Genomic DNA, 22,561 nt, shown 5'->3' with positions numbered 1-22,561 from the left:
GCTGGCCATGGACCAGTGGGCACGTACTTCCTCCCCTCTGGGCCCATAAAAGCCCTGGGCTTACCCAGAGTTGAACAGTTGTTGAGATGACCAGCTGCAGAGAGGAGCCACTCACTTTAGGGCCTGTTTTCTGCTGAGAGCTGTGCACACAGTGGGACGACCAGCTGCAGAGAGGAGCTACCCTTTCTGCTAGGAGCTGAACACTTGTCCGGACACCCTGGCTGTGGAAAGGAGCTACTCCCTGCAGCTTTCCTCTGAGCTGTTCTGTTGCTCAGTGAAGCTCCTCTTTGTCTTGCTCCTCCACTTGTCTGCGTACCTTTTCTTCTGGTCACAGGACAAGAACTCAGGACCCACTGAATGGCAAGGCTAAAAGAGTTGTAACACAAACAGGGCTGAGACATGCCACTTGCTTGCCACATTGCGGGTGAAGAGAAGGAAAGAAGAGCTGTGGCCCTTCGGGAAGCCCCAGCCTGGGAGCTCCCTGAGCCAGGGCTGTGACTCCCTCTTTGGGGCCCTTTGGGGCCCTTTGGTTCTTGGAGTTTCAAGCTTCCAGGCACCACCACGTACTGACTTGCCCTTGGCAGCTGTGGGACCCAGGCCAGTAGCATGAGCCGAGCGCAGCCTGCCAGGTCGAGTGGGCAAAATGAGCCCAGTAGGCCTGAGCAAAACTCAGGTAAAGGCGCCACCTGCCAGAGGGGTTTCTGGCCAGAAAAACAACACCCCAAAGATCTTGTAACAATGGTTATTATTTTTCTGGCAGTTTTTTTCTTGTTTTCTTTGGGGAAAAAGCAAAGCTTGCTTGTTCAGGGGTAAAAACTTGAATGTCCAAGCCAAATACTGTCATGTTGAAATAAGGTAAATCAAATAGTTAACAGTTTCCCCAATGGGGCCTAGAGTGTATTGAACTTAAATTTTAAGGAGAAACAATTTGATTAGGTTTTTTTTCTTAAATGACATTTCTAGGTTCCTAGGAAGGAGTTTAGGTTTATTTTAGAAGACTGCTAAAATTTATAGTCCTGTCATTTAAAAGGTTTTGAATAAGGGCTACATGAAATATACTTTTTTACTTTGTAGAAAAAGCTGTGTTCTGACATTTGATTCAGTACAGAAAGTACTTTTTAATACGCATAGTCTTTGAGACTGGGAGTTCTTGAACAAGGAATTCAATTTTATTTATTCTGTCTGCTGTAAATGTACTTTTTGATCAATGTTTATACTTTTAACTTCTGGATAAAGTGATCTTTTGTAAAAACAACATTATTTTAATGCAACAGCTTTTAAGATTTTTTTTCACGTAATACTTCTAAAATTTATTTCTTTGAATGCCGAAATACCATTTTTAGAGTTCTTCAAAGCAGTTTAGGGGAAGATGTTACGTATGATTCCGTTCATTAGTTATAGTTAAAAGTTTGCCTATAACATGGAACCATTTTCACCAAGTTCTTTAGTTAACAAAGAATGCTTTTAAAAATGTTATTAGGCCAGGTGCGGTGGCTCACGGCTGTAATCCCAGCACTTCGGGAGGCCGAAGTGGGTGGATCACTTGAGGTCAGGAGTTCAAGACCAGCCTGGCCAACATGGTGAAACCCTGTCTCTCCTAAAAATACAAAAATTAGCTGGGTGTGGTTGCCCACACCTGTAATCCCAGCTACTCAGGAGGCTGAGACAGAGCAATCCCTTGAACCTGGGAGACGGAGGTTGCAGTGAGCCGAGATGATGCCATTGCACTGCAGCTTGGGTGACAGAGCAAGACTCCATCTCAAAAACAAAAATGTTGTTGGATTTCTTTTGAAGCATTAGACAAATGGGTAGTTAATTCAGAAAGGAGTTTACTTACTAGTTGCATATACATGTGTAATACTTGACATTTTCAAAACACACACTATTTTCTTTGATTTCCTTCACATCTTAGAAGTACCACAGCTAGTATTTTTCCTATTTTGGATATATGGAAATTGAAATTTAGAGGGCAAAATGAATTCCCTAATGTCATACAGCCTTGTTAAGTAGGAATTTAGATTTAAATAATGCTAAATTAGATTTAGAGTCAAAGTTTAGATTTGAACAAGACCCTTTCCTTGCAAAACAATGCATTCTTTATCTACTATGTTCTAGGCACTGTGGTCAGCACCGGAGATATACAGATAAGACACAAATATTGCCCTCCAGGGGTTTGAAGGTAGTGGCAGACTACCCAGTGAGGGAAGTGAGTGCAGTGGGGCCCCACTGAAGGGCCATGTAGTTCAGATATTTTTGAAGGAATGACTAGGAGAAGTTAGCCAGCTTAGTGGGTGCAGAGAGAGATGGTTAGGTAGAAAGAACAGTCAGGGAGGCCTTATGTCTTTTGGGGAGTGCTAGTATTCCCATTGTCAGTCCTGTTCTTTGCTGTGCAACCAGAGGTGTAGACAGTTGTGCCCTACGTTGAGAAGTTTGTGAAAAGGTTTCAGAGTGCCAAAAGAGAATTTAAGTAGGTGTAGAAGGCCTTGGATTGATCATGCTTTGAGTTGTAGGTCTTGGGTTTATTCACTGTAGAACTGTAGACAGGTGACTATTTCTGAGCCCCAATCACCTCATCTGTAAATGGAAATAACATTCAATTTATAGGCAGTTAGAAGGACTAAGAAAAAGAAATGCGCTGGGTGTGGTGGCTCACACCTGTAATCCCAGCCCTTTGGGAGGCTGAGGCAGGAGGGTTGCTTGAGCCCAGGAATTTAAGACCAGTCTGGGCAATATAGCAAGACCCCATTTCTACCAAAAAAAAAAAAAAATCCCAAACAAATTAGGCAGGCCTAGTGCTGCATACCTGTAGTCCCAGCTAGTTGGGAGGTGGCTGAGTTGGGAGAATTGATCAATTGAGCCTGGGAGGTGGAGGCTGCAGTGAGCTGTAATCATGGTACTGCACTCCAGCCTGGAAGACAGAGCAAGACCTTTCTCAAAATGTACAAAAAAAAATAATAATTTAAAAAAAAGAAATGTAAATAAAAGCACCTAGCGTGCACCAGACCTGTAAGTACGATGAATTAGAAAAAATAAAGACAATTCTTTACATATATATAAGCTTCTAAGTAGAACTGAAATATGAGTTGAATCTTATTTGAAAATAGTATCAAAATATTTGGACATTTATGAAACAGCTTAGCTGAAGTGGTCTTATAATTTCATGTTTTAAAATTTAATATTTAGGAATCCTTCCATGTGGCATTTCTTAATATCCTTATTTGAAAGCAAGACTTTATGTGTAAGATATGATTGATAAGCTGTGGGGCTGCCACAAGTTAGTTCTTGTGTAGAATCAGTTTTGTTTGCATTGTGTTTTGTACCATGCTCGTCCCCCAACACTCTGACCCAGGAATGAATTCTTAGTTGGAAGACCTGGATCTATCATTTGGCTAACGGTCTAGTCTTAGACAAATTACTGGCCATTTAGGTGTTTCTTTAGTGTTAAAATGGGACCTAATTAATTTAGCTTTAGAGAATAGAATGAAATCATGCATGGATGCACTTCTGTAAAACACAGTGTCTTCGACTGGGCTGCCACAACAAAATACAGTTGACCCTTGAACAACACGGGTTTGACCTGTGTAGGTCCACTTATCCACGGATTTTCTCCCACCCCTGACACAGCAAGGCCAACCCTTTTCCCACTGTTGGAGATAAGGATGAAAATCTTTATGATGATATACTTCCACTTAATGAATAGATATATTTTTTCTTCTTGATGATTTTGTTAATATTCTCCAGCTTACTTTATTGTAAGAATACAGTATAAATGATACATATACAAAATATGTGTTAACTGATGGTTTATGTTATCAGTGAGACTTCTGGTCAACAGTAGGCAATATTGGTAGTTAAATTTGGGGGGACGTGAAAAGTTATACACAGATTTTTTACTGTGTTTTGGGTGTTGGCTCCCCTAACTCTCCGGTTTTTCAAGGGTCAACTGTACTATAGACTGGGTGGCTTAAACAAAGAAATTTGTTTCTCATGGTGCCGGAGGCTAGGAAGTCCAAGACAAAGGTGCTTCCTATTCGGTTCCTGGTGAGGGCCCTCTTTCTGGCTTGTAAATGGCTGCCTTCTCACTGCAGTCCTCACATGGCCTTTTTTCTGAGCCCTATGGGAGGAGCGAGAACCTGAGCGTTCTGGTGTTTCTTCATCTAGGGACACTAATCCTATAGATCACAGCTCTACCATTGTGACTTCGTGTAGCCTTAATTACTTCCTTATTCCTAGTATGGCAGTACTAGGGGTTTAGGGCTTCAACATAGGAATTTTCGAGGAACACAGTCTATATTCTATTCAGTCTATAACATATAAAAAAGTTGGTAGTGTTCTCTCTTGATGGTTTTATGATTTGGTATTTTGTAAAAGTGAGTTAATAGAGGAATGCATTGTGTTTTACTGCTCTACAGAGCTGAAGGTGTATATGGGTCATTTGTGTCCATGCTTTCTAACTAATATTTATAATTAGCTACAGAAGGGTTTACAACCAAGTTAGCATAGAAATCAGAATATTTCTGTGCTTAAGGTAATTATAAATTTCATTAGCCATTCTAATAGTACATTAAGCCTATACCACTTAGTTGAATATCCTCCCAACTCATTCCAGGTTCAAATATAGTTTGGTTCTATATAGAATATCCATGTAATTCAGTAATAGTTTTTAAAAATCATTTATCGTTGAGTGCATCTTTTTTTTTTTTTTTTTTTTGAGACAGTGTTTCGCTCTGTCACCCAGGCTGGAGTGCAGTGGTATGATCTCGGCTCACTGCAACCTCTGCCTCCAGGTTCAAGTGATTCTCCTGTCTGAGCCTCCCAAGTGGCTAGGATTACAGGCACCTGCCACCCCCACCTGGCTAATTTTTGTATTTTTAGTAGAGACAGGGTTTCACCATGTTGACCAGGCTGGTCTTGAACTCCTGACCTCAAGTGATCCACACACCTTGGCCTCCCAAAATGCTGGGATTACAGGTGTGAGCCACCACGCCCAGCCTTAGTGCACCTTTTTATGCAGTAAAAGAAGAAGCCTTTTAATTAACGTGTTGAGGTTACACAGCTTTTGCAGATGGCTAAACTTCAGTTTTACATAGCAGATTTTGGAACAAAGGTGGAAGTCTTACCTTCAGAGTGTACGTGTCTTCCTTTTTTTTTTTTTTTGTTAATTGTGAATCTCAGTATGAATTTTGAATTCCTTCTGTTTGTGTTTCAAATTATGGTGGAAGGTCTTTCCCTGGTTTCCCAGATTGATCACACTTCTGTTCTTTCTCACAGGCCAGCCCTCCAGATCTCTATATTGAAAGATTTAATATAGCTCTTGGACAATATATGGGAGCATTGCAGAGCATTGTGCCTCTTTTCATATATATGGTAAGTAAGAGCTCCTTCCTCCTTCCCAAATACCTAGGTGTATTGTTGAGAGCACAAATAGATGCAGAGAGTTAAGCATATTCTGTTTTTCTTTTACTACATTTGTGTTAGAAATGGAAATTAAGTTATTTCAGTAATGTGCGATAGTTGTTGACATAGAAGAACTTTAATTATTTCCCCTTTTTCTGCTTTGAAATTCCATAACAATTGCTGAATAGACAAGTAGGCATTAAGATTAGCAGTCACCCACATGAGTACTTATTTTATTTCTGCTATGTGGAAGGCACTGTGTTTGGTTCCAGAAATATAAAGATATGTAAGATTTCTTGTCCTCAGAAAGTAAAATGCCAAGTAAATCATTCCATAAAAATAGAACAGTAAAACATTGCTGCCATTCTGATGATCTGTTTTATTTGGAGAGTTATGCTATGAGTATAATCTGTAGACTGTGACTTTGTTGATCAGCTTCCTCCCTGTTTTAAATATCGAGAGTCATAGAATCTTAATGTTAGTGCTCCTGTTGAATGGAGGAGCCCTTAGAAACCATGATCCCCGTTCTTCTTTATTAGACTAGTGAATGAGATGTTCAGGTTGATCCTACCTTCTGTAGCATGTAGCTTGCTGTATGTGGATAGCAATCTTAAAAATGTTATTTTCCATAAAATGCACTTAACAAAAACAAAACAAAACTACCCCTGTCTTTAATTTAGAAGGCACTTTCCAAAAGACCATGTAGTGCTTCCTGATTTTCATTTACACTTATTTCTTGGTTACTGACAACAATTTTAATAGTACGAGTTTTCTAGTCAATGTAATGCCAAAGAAACTGGTTTTTGCCTTTTACCAAGAAAGAAATGTATAAAAAGCCTTTTCTTTTGGTTTAAGTGCCAAAACTCCTTTATGAATCATGAAACTAAGGAAAAATATTGTTGATGACATTAGGAATAAGTGCATCTAGGATAGCAGAATTAACTTACTGGGAAGAGTGTAAGCCTGGGAGGTAGTAGTTACATTGTATCATTTTGGTGAAATCCTATCATGGGCTATTGATCAGGAGTGTGTTAACTAAATGTCCTGTACTGATAGAGCAAACATTTTATTTCCGTGCGAGCCGACTCCTTATTCTTGCTGTTTAAAGTTTTCAGTAGAGACCAGGTATGGAAGCAGAGCTGAAAGACAGGGCCTATTTGTGGATAAAGGAATTAAGGCTGGGTAAATAGGTTTCTTGACTTGCATGTCTGCCATTTTAATGGCATTTACCAGATAAGCATGTTGGTTAGGTGCGTGAGTAATAAAAACAAAAGTCTAATTTATCATAATTTTGAATCAAAAGGTAAATAGCTAGTTTATTAAAACAAAAATAGTTAAGACAGGAAGGTGATTCACGCTTTTCTGTATTGCCATTGTTGCTTTCTTACACCTTATGGTAGGATCCTGGGGTTTAAGAGGTCTGTGTCAATTAAGAATAAACGAACTTCAAACTTACTCTTTCAGCTAGCAGGATTCAAATAAGGGATCTTAGATTGTAAAGCTTAACTACAGCTTTTCTTATAGATTAAGAGCTTGAATTTGCTTTGTAGTTACTTTTGAGAATTTGTTATGTAAATTGTTTTTATTGTCCAGAAGATAGAAATTCTTTGAACTTTGGTACTGTTTTGTTGGAAAAGTATATTAAAGAAAATAGTTTGAAATGTTAACCTACTAGTGCCATAATAAGCAAAGTTTCTTTTGATATCACAGAAACAAATTTTTTTAAATATTTGTCAAAATTAGTGTCTTTGTTAGAAGTCTGTCTATATGAATATCAAGAAATTGTCATTAAACTAGAAAATAAATTGTAACTAAGGTCTTGCTGAAAGTTACAGAGGTCAAATAAAGACATTTATTTTTGCTTACAATTTTGGAATTTAACATTACTGTACCTGAGACAAAGTTGAAAAGAGGTAGACTAACTTGAGTTTCTAAGTACTTCTGAAGTTTTCATACTATTTCTTTTTAATGGTTTCTAGTTACTTACAAAGAGTAGAAAGGGTACATTAAAATGCTGTGCATTCAGGTCTTAAATGTCAATAGGACAATATACCAGGAGAGAAAAGCACTATAAATGCAGAAAAATTTATTTTGGGAGTTAAACAGTTATATTATTTTTTATTATTGAATATAAACTACAGAGTCTCAAAGAGATGGCTAATTTATTTCAAAGACTTTAAGGTATACTGCCAAATCAACTTTTGCTCTAAATTTTGATTTAAAAATTTCAGTTGTGAAAATAGCTTGAAGTTTTTATTAATTTAAAAAGGGGAAAATACTTAGAAATGAAATGTGGAAGACAGCTAACTTAATCTCTTCTGATAAAATTTATGTAAAAAAAAATAACCAGTAAAACTTATAAAAGATAAATAAGAATGAACTTCAGACTTACTCTGAATTTCAACTATCAGAATTCACGTATGAGGCCCTACTGATGTAGGATTTTTTCTTCTTGGTCACTTTGCAAGCTGGGGACCCCTGGCTGGCAGTGCCCCACCCGGGCCTTGCTCGGCCATGCTGATGTGCCCCAGCTCGCCTGTGTTACAGCTTGTACCCGCATTTGGCAGTTCCCAAGCTCTTATACTGCGCCCAAGAAGAATGAGGATGTGCTGAACATTGGAGGGTGAGGAGGGTGGAGAAGAATTTTATTGAGCAATGAAACAGCTTTCAGTGGAGAGGGGTTGTGGGGGTGCTCCCCCCACCCCCACCTTGTGTCTGAGTCTGAGGCCTTTTATGGACTCAGAATGGGGAGTGCATGCTGATTGGTTTGTGAATATACAAAAAAGGTTAAAGCAAGGACACTACTCAAAGGTGGGCATAACAGTGTAGGAAACCAATTAAGAAAGGGTAGATATATGTAAAATAGGTGAAGGGTGGGGGTCAATCAGAGGGAAGTGTGCCAAACGGGAAGACAAGTTCTCAGTCCTGCCCAAGGATTTGCCTGTAGCTTGGCTTTCAGGCTTTAAACTGTCTTGGGCCTGGAGGTGGGCTTTCACTGGAGAACCACCCCTGTCTGCCTAGGCATTTGACTGCCTTCTGTCTCTATCACCTGATATTAAAATGAATGAGAAGGCTATGGTAATTAATAATGATTGTCATTGGTGGCAGGGATAGACAGATCAAGGGAACAGAGCCCAGAAATAAGCTGAAGTAAATGTAGAAGTTTAGTAGAAAGGTGACATTTCAGATCAGTAAGGAAGGAGTAGATTTTTCCATACCTAATGTTAGGAATTTTTTTTTTTTTTTTCAGTAGCGATGGGATCTTGGTATGTTATCCAGGCTGGTCTGTAACATCCATCCACCTTGGCCTCCCAAAATGCTGGAATTAAAGGCATGAGCCTAAGCACGACCACCTAGCCACTACCTTATTCTTTTTTTTTAAGACGGAGTCTCGCTCTGTCACCCAGGCTGGAAGAAAATATCAGACTATGACAATACAAAATTTGGAAACCTTTGTACAGTAAAATATCATAAGCTAAAAGTAAGTGGGGAAAAAATGCAAAATTGGAAAATATAAGACAAAAGTTTGCTTTCCTTGATAATCAGCTTTCATGAATTGGAAAAAGATAACCCTAAATTTCTGTTGAAAAATGGACAAAGCATATGAACAGACAGTTCATAGAAAAAAAAGATTATAAACATGAAAATATACCCAATATCACAATTTAAGAAATAAAATAACTTTTTTTCCGCTAACTTACTTTAGTTAGTGAAATTGGAAAGGTTTGATCAATATTCAGTTCTGGTGAATCTATAAAGAAACAAGCTTCTCACACTTTTGGTGGAAATGTAAATTGGTAAAGCCTCTTTGGAAGACTATTTCGCATTATTGTTAAGAGTTTAATATGCAAAAATCTGACTCAAGAATTGTATCTCTAGGAATTTATTATACAAATAAACTCATAAATACATACAAATATGTATATAAGAATTATGCAGGTTTTTAAAATAGCAGAACATTGAGGAACATTTGTATTATCAGTAGGGACTATTATTTAAATAATTTATGAAAGACACAGAAAAATATGCAATTAAAAGTAACACAACTCTGTTTTTTTAGAGAAAAATCTTCCAAGATGCAACATTAAATGAAAAAGCAGGGTACAATGCAGTGTTTAATATTTTCACACTAGTATTTTTTTTTTTTAGGGGGAAAAAAGCATATCCATGTATATGCAAGGAACATCCTAGAAAGAATATACAGAAGTTTTCCCAGTGTAGAATGGGACCTTTTGGGAATGGGTCAGAAGGTCTGCATTGAGAGACTTCTCTTTATTGCATACTCTTTTGCATGCTTTCTGTTTTTTAACCATGTGCATCTTATTTTTATATATTTTTTTAAAGAGAGAAACGTGTGTTAAGAATTCAGTGGCTGGGCATAGTGGCTCACATCTGTGATCCCAGCTGCTCAGGTGGCTGAAGTGGGAGGCCAGGTGTTTGAGACCAGCCTGGGCAATTGAAACACTATCTCCAAAAAAAATTTTTTAAATTAAATTAAGAGAGAATCAGTGAGCAACTTAACATTCCTCTATGTATTTTCTACTCTTCTGCATTAACACTTAAATATGAAAAACTTTTTTTGCCAGGCATGGTGGCTCACGCCTGTAATCCCAGCACTTTGGGAGGCAGAGGCTGGCGGATCACCTGAGGTCAGGAGTTTGAGACCAGCCTGACCAATGTGATGAAACCCCATCTCTACTAAAAATACAAAAATTAGCCGGGTGTGGTGGTATACGCCTGTAATCCAAGCTACTCGGGAGGCTGAGACAGGAGAATCATTTGAACCGGGGAAGCAGAGGTTGCAGTGAGTGGAGAGCGTGCCATTGCACTCCAGCCTGGGCAACAAGAACAAAACTCTGTCTCAAAAAAAAAAAAAAGAAAAAAGAAAAACTTTGACTTGCCAGTAATTCTAGTCAGGATTTCAGCTGCAAGAAACAGAAAACATGATTCAAAGTGATTTAAGTAAATAATGAAGAGTATTATCTCTTATAATAAAACTCCAGAAATAAGGCTGTGTCCAGGGTTGGTTGAATCTGTGGTTCAATAGTATTACTAAGGACTTGATTTTTGGTCTCTCTGCTCTCCGTAACATCGGTTTTATCCTGTTCCCTGTCACGGGCGTCTTTGTGAAGAGACCACCAACAGGCTTTTGTGTGAGCAATAAAGCTTTTTAATCACCTGGGTGCAGGTGGGCTGAATCCGAAAAGAATCAGCGAAGGGAGATGAGCTGGGGCAGTTTTATAGGATTTGTGTAGGTAGTGGAAAATTACAGTCAAAGGGGTTGTTCTGTGGTGGGCAGGGGTCACAAGGTGCTCGGCCCAGGAGCTCCGCAGGGAGCTTCTGAGACTCATTGTCCAGGAGAAGGCATTTCACAAGATAATGTCCTCAGTTAAGGCAGAAACCGGCCATTTTCACTTCTTTTGTGATTTTTCAGTTGCGTTAGGCCATCTGGATGTATACATGCAGGCTTGGGCTCAGAGGCCTGACATTCCCCTCATGGTTATAAGATGACTGCAGGAGATTTTTCCCTCACACCACAATTTCTCTAAGTCTGCTTGGGCTGCCTTGAGTGTCTACTTCTGAACCAAAGGTGGTCCCCAGGGAATGCCAGAAGCTGAATGACTTAATCAGTGAAATTGAGTGTGTGCTGGGGAGTCAACGAGTGCATGTCCACAGCCTGCTTTCAACCCAGATCATTGATAAATGGGGTACTTTTCATTAGTGTTTCTCATGTTGTCTTTTGGTGATGTATTTTTAAAGGGTATTCCACACAGTGTGATTCTACAATGTTTGTACATCCCTGTCTAGTTAATGTTGGTATCTCCCAGTGTTCTTTTGAAGATGTATAGTTCAAAACATTTTTTTATGCTTTCCACCCCGTGCCAGAAAGACAAGTAACTAATAGTTGCATGGCTTTTGTTGTTGGATGTTGAGTTTTTCTGCTTTAATTGATGCCTTTATGCATTGTTTTCTAAAATATTTAGTGCTCCAGTTCATTAGACTAATCATTTCCCCAATTAATACACAAAAAAAGATTTTATTTTATTTTTCAGAATAAGTTTTACATCGAAACCAAGCTTAACAGAGACTTAAAAGATGACCTTATAAAGCTGTTTACGGAACATGTTGCAGAAAAGCACATTTACAGCCTAATGCGTAAGTAATTCAGCTTATACGGGTGAGATAACACTAGCAATGATCTTTCCTTTTTCTTTTTTTTTTGGTCTGAGAGCATTGTCACGTAAACCCCAATGTTAACATCTTCTGAACCAGATAGCAGGAAGTGTTGAAGCCCACCTGAGACACTGCAGAATTAAAAATGGGACTTGAAGGTCACCCGGTGAGCTGTGAGCACCTTGACCAGGTCATTGGACAGTGCCCTTGTGTCTGCCCTGAGAACTTGTTGCCCCCTCCCCGCCGCCCCTTTTTCCTGACAGTAGGGAAAGTATTATTAGGAAGTTCACTTCTAACTTTACTACTAGTAACTCTAGAAGGAATACAGTGTTATTTTTTTGAAATGGTAGTACAGAATCCTCTGATTTTTACTCTAGTGCAGAAACTCTTCTCTAGTCTGGTTCTGTCATTTATTCTCTATTTTAGGCAAACGTCTTTGCCTCTTGTGGCCCTGAGTTTTCTCTCCTGTGAATTAGGATTTGTAAAATATTTCATGTGCCTGTGTAGATTATTAAGAACATTAAGCTCAGTTCGTTTCTCCTCTTCCCATTCTTTTTTTTTTTTTTTTTTTGAGACGGAGTCTCGCTCTGTCGCCTAGACTGGAGTGCAGTGGTGTGATCTCGGCTCACTGCAAGCTCTGCCTCTCGGGTTCACGCCATTCTCCTGCCTCAGCCTCCCGAGTAGCTGGGATTACAGGTGCCCGCAACCATGCCTGGTTAATTTTTTCTATTTTTAGTAGAGATGGGGTTTCACCATGTTGGCCAGGATGGTCTCAATCTTTTGACCTCGTGATCCACCCATCTCGGCCTCCCAAAGTGCTGGGATTACAGGCGTGAGCCACTGCACCTGGCCTCTCCTCTTCCCATTCTTGAGTCCTCTTCCCCCTCGCAGTAGGTAGCATCTCATTCTACCTTTCCTGAAAGAATATACTTCTCCAGGTGGAGTTAGGAAGTCCCTGTAACCTAATGTCTCAGTGTCCTCAGCGTCCTTTTAAAGCTCCTATCTTATGTGACACATCAAGTCATTTTTTCGAATGTGGCACATATTTGGGTTGGCAGTATGTATTTTTGCTTTCCTTTGAGCCGTAATTAGCGTTCACCACAATGAACTTTTACCAGAATCTACAAAAGAATTGTTCTAAGCTTGACCATAAACTTTTTTTTTTTCATTTTTGATGCTGAATTAAGTGAAGGAATTATCAAGCATGGGGCAAGTTTAGAAAGGCAGGGTTTTTTTTTCAAAGAATAGTGTAGTTGAAGATAATATACATTTCATTATTATGTTCCCATTTTTTTTTGTAAGGCTGGGAGATGTTTATCAACATCTTTAAACATTGTCTTGGCCGGGCGCAGTGGCTCACGCCTGTAATCCCAGCGCTTTGGGAGGCTGAGGCCGGCGGATCACGAGGTCAGGAGATTGAGATCATCCTGGCTAACACGGTGAAACCCCGTCTCTACTGAAAATACAAAAAAAAATTAGCCGGGCATGGTGGCGGGCGCCTGTAGTCCCAGCTACTTGGGAGGCTGAGGCAGGGGGAATGGCGTGAACCCGGGATGCGGAGCTTGCAGTGAGCCGAGATCGCGTCACTGCACTCCAGCCTGGGCGACAGAGCAAGACTCCTGTCTCAAAAAAAAAAAATTGTCTCATGAGGTATTCCAGGTATTATAACCACTTAAGTATTTCCTGATACTGACATTGTCTTTTTGCTTTCATGACAAGATAGAGCATTTTGAAATCTTGGTAAAATTCTGTAGAGAAATGCTACCATTTGGTAGAAAAAGCCGGTCTAGTTTGTAAATATATTTTTATATTTGCCAGTAATTTGGAAACTAATTTTATTGGACGTATGCAAAGAGAATATTCAAGAGAGAATATAGTAGTCCAGAGCTGGTGAGAGAAAACATAATCATAATCATGTTGTCCGGTTTTCAATAAAAATTACACTTAAAGGTGGATATACCTTTTTATTTCCAAGTAAACAGAAAAGGTCCTTAAGCTTTGGTAAATTGGAAAAAACTGAGTTTATCAGATACTTATTGAGCAGTTGTTAGGCATTGTACTTAGAGAAGTGATAACTGGCCTCATTGGTTTGGGCTTCAGAACAACAAGGGACAATGTTTAACTGTATTATGTGGGTGATCATCAAAAGGTTTTTAAACACACATGCACTGCTTGTATGTGGTAGGACCTATATTTTACAAGTATTTAATTCTCCTAACCCTATAAGATAGGTATAGTCATTACCTCCATTTTATAGATGGAGAAACGGAGACAAAGAGAGGTTAAAGTTTAAACCAGAATAGCACAGCTATTAATGTCGTTTCTACTTACACATTTTTATATTACTTACCCCTTTACTGCAGCAAAAAAATAACTACATTCAATTTCTGTAACTTTCTACAATCTGATCAGTAATTTCCTTCCCGTGGCTTCAGATAGATCTGGAAAACTAGTGTTCCATTTATTATCGGTGTATAACAAATCATCCAAAAATACAGTGGCTTAAAACAACAGTCTTTTATTTTGCTCTGCAGTTTGGGAGGGCTTGGGGTGGGGTAGCTTATCTCTGTTCTGCTCAGCATTGTCTGATGTGGCTCAGCTGGGGGCTGGCACTTTCAGTGTGACTCATTCACGTGGCTGGTAGGTTGGTGCTAGCTTTTGGTTCCTCTGTGTTTCCTTCATGAGTGAGTATCTCAAGATACAGGAAATGGAAATTGCTGGTATCTTAGGTCCTCGGCTCAGAAACTGGCACAGTGCCACTTTTGCTGTATTCTGCTGGGCGAGGGTCACAGAGCCCAAATTCCAGGAGAGGAATGTATCCCACCTCTTGATAAAAGGCATGTCGGCTGGGCGCGATGGCTCACACCTGTAATCCCAGCACTTTGGGAGGCCGAGGCAGGCGGATCACTTGAGGTCAGGAGATCGAGACCAGCCTGGTCAACATGGTGAAACCCTGTCTCTACTAAAAATACAAAAATTAGCCGGGTGTGGTGGCACGTGCCTGTAATCCCAGCTACTTGGGAGGCTGAGGCAGGAGAATCACTTGAACCCAGGAGTCAGAGGTTGCAGTGAGCCAAGATCGCCACTGCACTCCAGCCTGGCTACAGAGTGAGACTCCGTCTCAAAAAAAAAAAAAAAAGCAAAAGAGGTTTGTCAGAAGAATTTGGGAGCCACGTCTTAAAAACAACACAAAAATGTAAAATGAATACTGTCTGTTAATAAAGAATCAGTTCTTGATTGCCCCATATTATTCATTATTAGTATGTTTCATGAATGAAGACAATGACTTCTTACTGGGAATAAAACTAGTTTTCTATCGGCTCCATGGTATAATCATTTTTATGCATATTTGCTTATAAAATAAAGTGGCTTCTATTTTTGGCTGAAAGTAAACTACTAGGCTCTATTGTTAAAGTATTTACGTCGTATGTTGGTGATTCTGAGCAAATGTAACAAATGTGTAGCATGGGGTTAATTAATGATAGAAAATTTCCTGGGAAAATATAGTGTGTTGACTTTTGCAGCAGCAGATTTATAGTTCAGTTTGCACAGTGTTCTAAATAGTTACGTTTTAGTTAATTTTCTTAGGCAGTTCTGCCTTTTAGATCAAACCATTGTAGTTTGAAATTTTTTGAAGCCAAGAGTATTTTCAGTTTTATGAATTGCTTTTCACATTAATAAAGGAGAGAGTCTCCTGAGCAAGTGTGTAGCACTGAGGAATACTTGAAAGAGCAGAGGAGCTTGGTTCTGGTCCCAATTCAGGTATCAAAAGGTGTGTGACTTTCAGCAAGACACTTAACCTGTCTAGATTTTAGGATTAGAAGTTATCTATTCTAGTGTTTAAACTATACGGCTTATTGATATCTGTGGGATGATTGTTGCGTATAAGCAAGCATTTCAGTGTTGGTATGGTGAAGTAGAGTACAGAATTTAGAGTGAAACACAAGTTCTCAAACTTCTTCTGCCTCTAGCTAGCTCTGTGACTTCAGATGAATTATTCAGTGATGAGTTTTTATTTTGGCCTCAGTTTCCTCACTTGTTAAAAATAAAAAGGTAGATGATAAAGCTTGTGAGAATTAAATATATGTAAAGTACGTAGCACTTACTAAATGCTCAGTACTCTTTTCTCTCTCAAGTTACCACCCCCAAACTCCCATTTCTTTTTCCTTAAAAGGGGAGATTAACTAGAAAATCTTTTAAGTTTTAAACACTGTTTTCCTAAAATCATTTTAAATTTATTTCAAATTAATTTCTGTACATTTTATGTATATATCTTTGTATTATATTTATCATTTCTTTATCAAATTTGACATAGGGGATTTCAGTTATGGTAGGAGTTGTTTGCAAATGTATATACTTGACCACATAATGAATATGTGGTTGAATACGAAGAGTTAGTGGGAGCAAGGCTAATTGGAGGCCAAAATGGTGAAAAGGTTAGGAAGATGGATTAATAGAGAGAACTTTGAAAACCTAACACTTAGAATTTAAATTTTTAAACACTGCATTTTAAAGCAACATGATTTTCTGAAATGCTTAGCATTTGTCTATGCCAAGCTTGTTCAACCCATGGCCTGCGGGCCGCATGCGGCCTAGTATGGCTTTGAATGCTGCCCAACACAAATTCGTAAACTTTTTTTTTTATTAGATAGTGTCTCGCTGTGTTACCCAAGCTGGAGTGCAGTAGCGGGATCTTGGCTCACTGCAGCCTCCGCCTCCCAGGTTCAAGCAATTCTCTGCCTCAGCCTCCTGAGTAGCTGGGATTACAGGCGCCTGCCGCCACGCCTAGCCAATTTTTTTGTATTTTTAGTAGAGACGGGGGTTTCACCAAGTTGGCCAGGTTGGTCTTGAACTCCTGACCTTGTGTTCCACCTGCCTCAGCCTCCCAAAGTGTTGGGATTACAGGCGTGAGCCACTGTGCCAGCCTGTAAATTTTCTTAAAACGAGTTTTTTTGCAATTTTTTTTTAAGCTCATCAGCTGTCGTTAGTGTATTTTATGTGTGGCCCAAGACAGTTCTTCTTCTAGTGTGGGCCAGGGGAGCCAAAAGACTGGACACCCCTGGTGGTCTGTGCCATTCAAAATTGTAACTATCTACTGATGATAAAATTGGAAGGATAGACTTGAACAGTGAGTGCATCTCTGATGGCCATCATATATATTCAAACATAACTCAAATTGTACGTTTGAGACTGTAAAATCCTTATTGGCCTAGTAAGATGGCATTTCTCTTTTTAGAAAGGCATGAACAGAACAAAATCAGTTTATATGTGATGTTACAAGCCTGGCTGAGGGTAAAATCCTACTAAGTTTTTTGTTGTTATTAGCAAATGCAGCTCTTTGAGATAAATTAAAAATGAATCATTTTAGGTCAGTAGTATCTGTTGTGTTCACTTATCAATGGAATTCACTTGTATTTGTTAGTGATCTTATCTAGAGGAATTATTCTTACTCGTTAAAAACTTCTTAAAAATGTTTGTGTGGCAGTAGATAACCTAAAAGAAAACTGTCTCTGTTGTCATGTTCAGAGTCAGGGTCACCAAAGACATGAAAATGAGAAAGATGAGCCATTATCATCCCTTGCCCTTAGCTCTTGTAAGAAAATAGTAGATGTAGCTATAGCATTTGTGGAAATGAATTTCTGTCTCTGATCACAGTTACCAAATAATTACTAATGGTGTTTTGGGGGAAGGAGAAATGATTGAGGGAGATTATCATATGATACTTTATTCTCCAAATGTAATGGAAGCACTTTCAACTCACTTATAATGTATCATTCATGATACATTATACTAGTGCTTTTAGAAAGCTTTACTTACTTTTCAGAACCTTCATGAATTGATTCATTTCCATTAGTGGCCAGCAGACCTTCACGTATTTTAGCTACTGCAGTGGATTAAAAAAATAAAATCCTTAGTATATAAACATTTGATTGGTTTATTGGACTGTTCCTTTCTTACAATTGTTTATGTTTCAGGAGTCTTTGGGAGAAACAGTAATAGAGAAATCTTGACAGTCAATATGTGTTACATTCTTTTTAACCTGTTTTCTTATTTCAGCTTTACTTTTAGAAGCCCAGTCAACACCATTTCAGGTCACACCTTCAACTATGGCAAATATTGTGAAAGGCCTGTATACCCTCAGACCAGGTAAACATTTCTCATTTCTGTTGGGATTGGAACTGTTTGTTACAGCCTTTTCCAAGAGGGCAGTGGTTCTGTATGTGTTTTGTGAGGCTTAATGGTACTTGGATTTGCTGGAGCAAAAAAATTGAGTAGATACTCATCATTGTGAAATGTAAACTCAGAGCTCAGTTGGAATGTTCTCTGCTAGTGGAAACCAACTAGTGTGGTTTTTGCAGAACCTGTGAGGGAAATACAAGAAATAAATTGTAGGATACACTTTGGATAAAATTGAATCTCATGTTTGGTCTTAGTTTCTTCTTTACTTCCTGCCTCACGCTGCACATACTTACAGACATCCACATTCACAACCCCGTCTTCTTAGGCCTGTTAAGTAACTTGCGAAGAATCTAGAAGTGTTGGTAAAGTTACAGTCATTTTGTAAGGATGTTCTGGGGAGAGAGACAATCACAAGAACCAAAGCAAATACCAAAGATCACTATAGTCAAAAGCATGGTTTTTAAATTCTTAATGTGTCTCTCTATCTTAGAATAAAACATTATAAATTTAAAGGAATCCCAAGGAGCTTTTGTATATATCTTTCTATAAGCCGGAACCTCAAACTTGTCATAGAGTTGTCTAGCAACTTATAAATGTCCATGGGAGAGAGATTACAAAAGTTATCAGGATAGAACGTTGTTCTACAATCTATAAATACAAGGAATGCTTTTTAGATAGTAATTACCTTTTTGTGAAATTCTTTTGTTGTTTGAGGATTAAATGAAATAAAACATGATATAAAGAGCTTAACGCACAGTACCTGATAACATAATAAGCATGCAAACATTCACTGCTGTTATTACTATCCATTTGAGTTTAATGGTTATTTTAATTAATTGATGGCTTGTTTGCTTAATTAAACGACCTGTCAGAATTTAGCAAGCTAAAATGGAAACCAAGTGAAAACTGGTACTGGTAGACTGATTTTAGAAATACCTTCTTAGGCTGGGTGTGGTGGCTCACACCTGTGATCCCCAGCACTTTGGGAGGCCGAGGCGGGCAGATCACGAGGTCAGGAGATCCAGACCATCCTGGCTAACACGGTGAAACCTCGTCTCTACTAAAAATAGAAAAAATTAGCCTGGTATGGTGGCGGGCGCCTGTAGTCCCAGCTACTTCCTGAGCTGATTGTACCACTGCACTCCAGCCTGGGCGATAGAGTGAGACTCCATCAAAACAAAACAAAACCCTTAGGCTACTTTAAATGATTAATGACATCTAGAGTATTCAAATTTATTGTTAAATTTGGATCTAGGGTTTGAGCTTTACTTTCTGTGACTTTTAACAGAAATTACTTGTATAAAGTAGTAAAGATTTTATTGCATATGTCCAATAAACTGATACTTTTCTGTATTTAGTTTCTCAGAATTTTACAGCAGTGTGATGAAGATGGCTCCTGAAATAGTGTGTGTACCAGGTTATGAATGATTTTTTTTCCTTTGAAAGCATCTAAGTGCAGTATGACAAATTCTGCCTCCCAAGTAGGCAGCTTATAAGCACTGGCTTTTATCATACGTAACAAAATTGCAAAATAAAGTTTATCACTAAAGGTAGAAAAGTATTGTGGGTACATGTTTATCTAAATGCTATTTTATCCAGGTTCAAGCTCTTGTAATAGGATTTATACTACTTGTAAGGAGAATTCTATATTTGAGAATTGTCCTTTTGAAAAGGTGAATTTTATCACATACTAACCTTTTGCTGCCCTGCACATTTTCTGAGATACTTGAAAACATATTTTGACATTTACATGTTTTGCCAGTACCCATTATGTTCCTGCTTTATTAAAGCCATTTTATTCACCTGACAGATTAAGATTAGAATATTTTAAAAGTTGAATTTTGAAAGCAAAAGTTTGTTCTACTGCAGTAGTTCGCAAGTGCTGGTCTTTGTATGACTGCATCTGAGTCACTTAAGAAGGCTTTTTAAACTCTAGATTCCTGGGCTGTAATCCTTGGAGATTCTCATGACTTACCATTTTTGGCATCCATTCTTTAGAAATAGTTCCAGCAATCCTATTCTGCCCGTTTTCATTTAATACACACACTTTGTTTCTTCATCTTTATTTTGTGGCAGATGGGTTTGACTTTGCCAGCTGTGACTGATTAGTGGTTCTCTGTAGCACTGTATTGAGACTCTTAGTGAAGCCATATTTGAGCTGGACTGGAAGGAGGGAAGCATTTTGCCACGAGTTTCTCCCAAGGCGTGACTGAATGGATTGGTCCTTGTATCATTTGCAGTGCTTATTTGCCAGCTTTAATTAGCTATTCTCCTGTTAGACGTTTTATTAACTTCTACTTTTTTACTTACCACAGAGCAAATGTTCCACAGCATCAAGCGTGGCTTTTTCTGATTTATAATCATTTACTCAGATTATCGTTTTTAAAGTGATTCAAGAGCATTAATATTTTTATAGTTTTTGACATGTGTAGCCAAAATGTTTTCCAAGAGGAAAAATGTAAAAGGGCTAGATTAAAACAATTCAAAATGAGTAATAGTGTTAATTGAGGACCACCACCAAGGAAGGGAAATACTGGTTTCCCCATGCCCTTGATACAGGTGGGTGTTAATTCTCTTTAATGTTCACTGAATAAAAAGGAGAGAGTATATTTATTTTAGCTTGAATTTTTTTAAATATTAACAGGGCTATTCTGTTTCTATTATTATAGGTTCTTTCACTCATTTATCTGGTCTTACTGATCTGTACATATTCGTTATAATAAAGATACTAATTCATCTTTGTCATATCTGGTGCAAGTGTTTTCTTGTGACTTCTTTGCCTTATTTTCTATAGTCTCCTGAGCTTTTAAAAAATGATTTGATAACCACTTTTTTTTTTACTGTTGTTTATATATATTTGCTGTAATTGAACATGGCTCAAAAAATATTTTCAAAGTACTAACCAGTTACCTCCAGCCCACTTATTAAACGTTCAGTCCCTCCTACCTTTTGTGCTGCCTCTTTTTTTAAATATGTCTACTTATTATTTGTACTGTTCTATTCTTGGGCTATATATTGTTTTAATTAATGGCTAATAAGGCTGATATTTACACCAAGTCCCCTCCCACTCAGAATTGTTTGGTAATCACATTCATGTTTTCCTCCATACTTATAATTTTCTGTAAGATTTGTTCAAAAATTCCCTAGGGGTTTTCACTAAATTCTGTTAAATCAGTAAAGTAAAAATGGCTTTCTTCATACTATAAAATTCTTTTTCTTTTTTTTTTTTTTTTTTTTTTTTGAGACGGAGTCTCGCTCTGTCGCCCAGGCTGGAGTGCAGTGGTGCGATCTCGGCTCACTGCAAGCTCCGCCTCCCAGGTTCACGCCATTCTCCTGCCTCAGCCTCCTGAGTAGCTGGGACTACAGGTGCCCGCCACCGTGTCTGGCTAATTTTTTGTATTTTTAGTAGAGATGGGGTTTCACCATGTTAGCCAGGATGGTCTCGATCTCCTGACCTCGTGATCCACCTGCCTCGGCCTCCCAAAGTGCTAGGATTACAGGTGTGAGCCGCCGCACCCGGCCTGTAAAATTCTTTTTAGAAGGGAAATTTAACTTTGTATGTTCTTTACCAGAATGGGATTGCACTAATTTTTTCCCCTGCTTAAATTTGGCTTACTATATATTTTAAAAGAAAACTTTCCCTTTTCCATTTAATTTGGTGTGTTTATATGATTTCCTTAATGAATTGTTTCCTTTCCTCACAGAGTGGGTTCAGATGGCTCCAACTCTATTTTCTAAATTTATTCCAAACATTCTCCCTCCGGCGGTGGAATCTGAACTTTCTGAATATGCTGCTCAAGATCAGAAATTTCAAAGAGAACTTATACAGAATGGTTTTACAAGGCAAGTTGTTTTTTTTTCCTTTAGTGGTCAAATATGTCCATTTCCCTAGGCCAGTCTGGCTTGACATGGGAGAAATGGTAAGGTTCTGAGAATGGGAGGTAACTGGCCAAGAGTCTTGCTGCTGCAAGAAGACATTAGCTCCTTGTCTGTAGAAATGTTGAAGCTAGGTTTTGATTTTGTGGAAGCTGCTCTTCATTACGTACGTTTTGTTTTTGAGATGGAGTCTTGCTCCGTTTTCTAGGCTGGAATGCAGTGGCACAATCTCGGCTTACCACAACCTCCACCTCCTGGGTTCAAGCAGTTCTCCTGCCTTAGCCTCCCAAGTAGCTGGGATTACAGGCGTGTGCCACCACCACACCTGGCTAATTGTTTTGTATTTTTAGTAGAGATGGGGTTTCACCATGTTGGCCAGGCTGGTTTCAAACTCCTGACCTCAAGTGATCCGCCTGCCTAGGCCTCCCAAAGTGCTGGGATCATAGGCATGAGCCACCATGCCCGGCCCATACATTTTGAAGAAGGGATTTCCCACTGGGTGAGCAGTTAGGTGGGCAAGCTCCAGGAGCTCTTTCAACTTTGATTTTCTTGTATTAGTCCTGTGCATATAGAACTTTTATGATCTGTTATAATGTACTTTTATGACTAACCTAGCATAGAGGCTTTAAATTCTGTATTTCATACTTCCCCTTTTGCCCTAAATTCTAGTGGTTTCTTCTTAAGTAGGGCATCTCTTTATTTACCTTTCTTGGTTTTGATAATTTTTCTAAAGTTTTTGCGCTTAATTAACGTGGTCATATCCCAAAAAATCTTGCAGAGTGCATTTTTCAACTAAAATACATTTTAATACAATTTTTGTGATTCCCCATGAGAAAATAGCCTGTATCAGCAAATCATTTAAGGTCACAGTAATAGCTTCCATTTTTATAATCCTTACTCTTTTTTTTTTTTTTTTTTTTTTTTGAGACGGAGT

At 38.6% G+C, this 22,561-nt stretch overlaps 1 protein-coding gene across 1 annotated transcript in view; it reads left to right on the top strand.

Annotated features, from left to right (window-relative positions):
* Positions 1 to 22,561, top strand: part of CACUL1 (CDK2 associated cullin domain 1) — a 78,560-nt gene that overhangs the window by 42,112 nt on the left and 13,887 nt on the right. Inside the window, exons 4-7 of the mRNA NM_153810.5 lie at positions 5,272 to 5,367; positions 11,451 to 11,553; positions 17,629 to 17,718; positions 21,456 to 21,594. Of these exons, the coding sequence (NP_722517.3) occupies positions 5,272 to 5,367; positions 11,451 to 11,553; positions 17,629 to 17,718; positions 21,456 to 21,594 (428 nt within the window). The remainder of the gene's footprint in view (positions 1 to 5,271; positions 5,368 to 11,450; positions 11,554 to 17,628; positions 17,719 to 21,455; positions 21,595 to 22,561) is intronic.

Source organism: Homo sapiens, chromosome 10 (assembly GCF_000001405.40).
Source record: "Homo sapiens chromosome 10, GRCh38.p14 Primary Assembly".
In the NCBI taxonomy this organism is placed as follows: domain Eukaryota; kingdom Metazoa; phylum Chordata; class Mammalia; order Primates; family Hominidae; genus Homo; species Homo sapiens.
The sequence above is the reverse complement of the archived record's forward strand: the minus strand, read 5'-3'. Positions and strand labels throughout refer to the sequence as shown.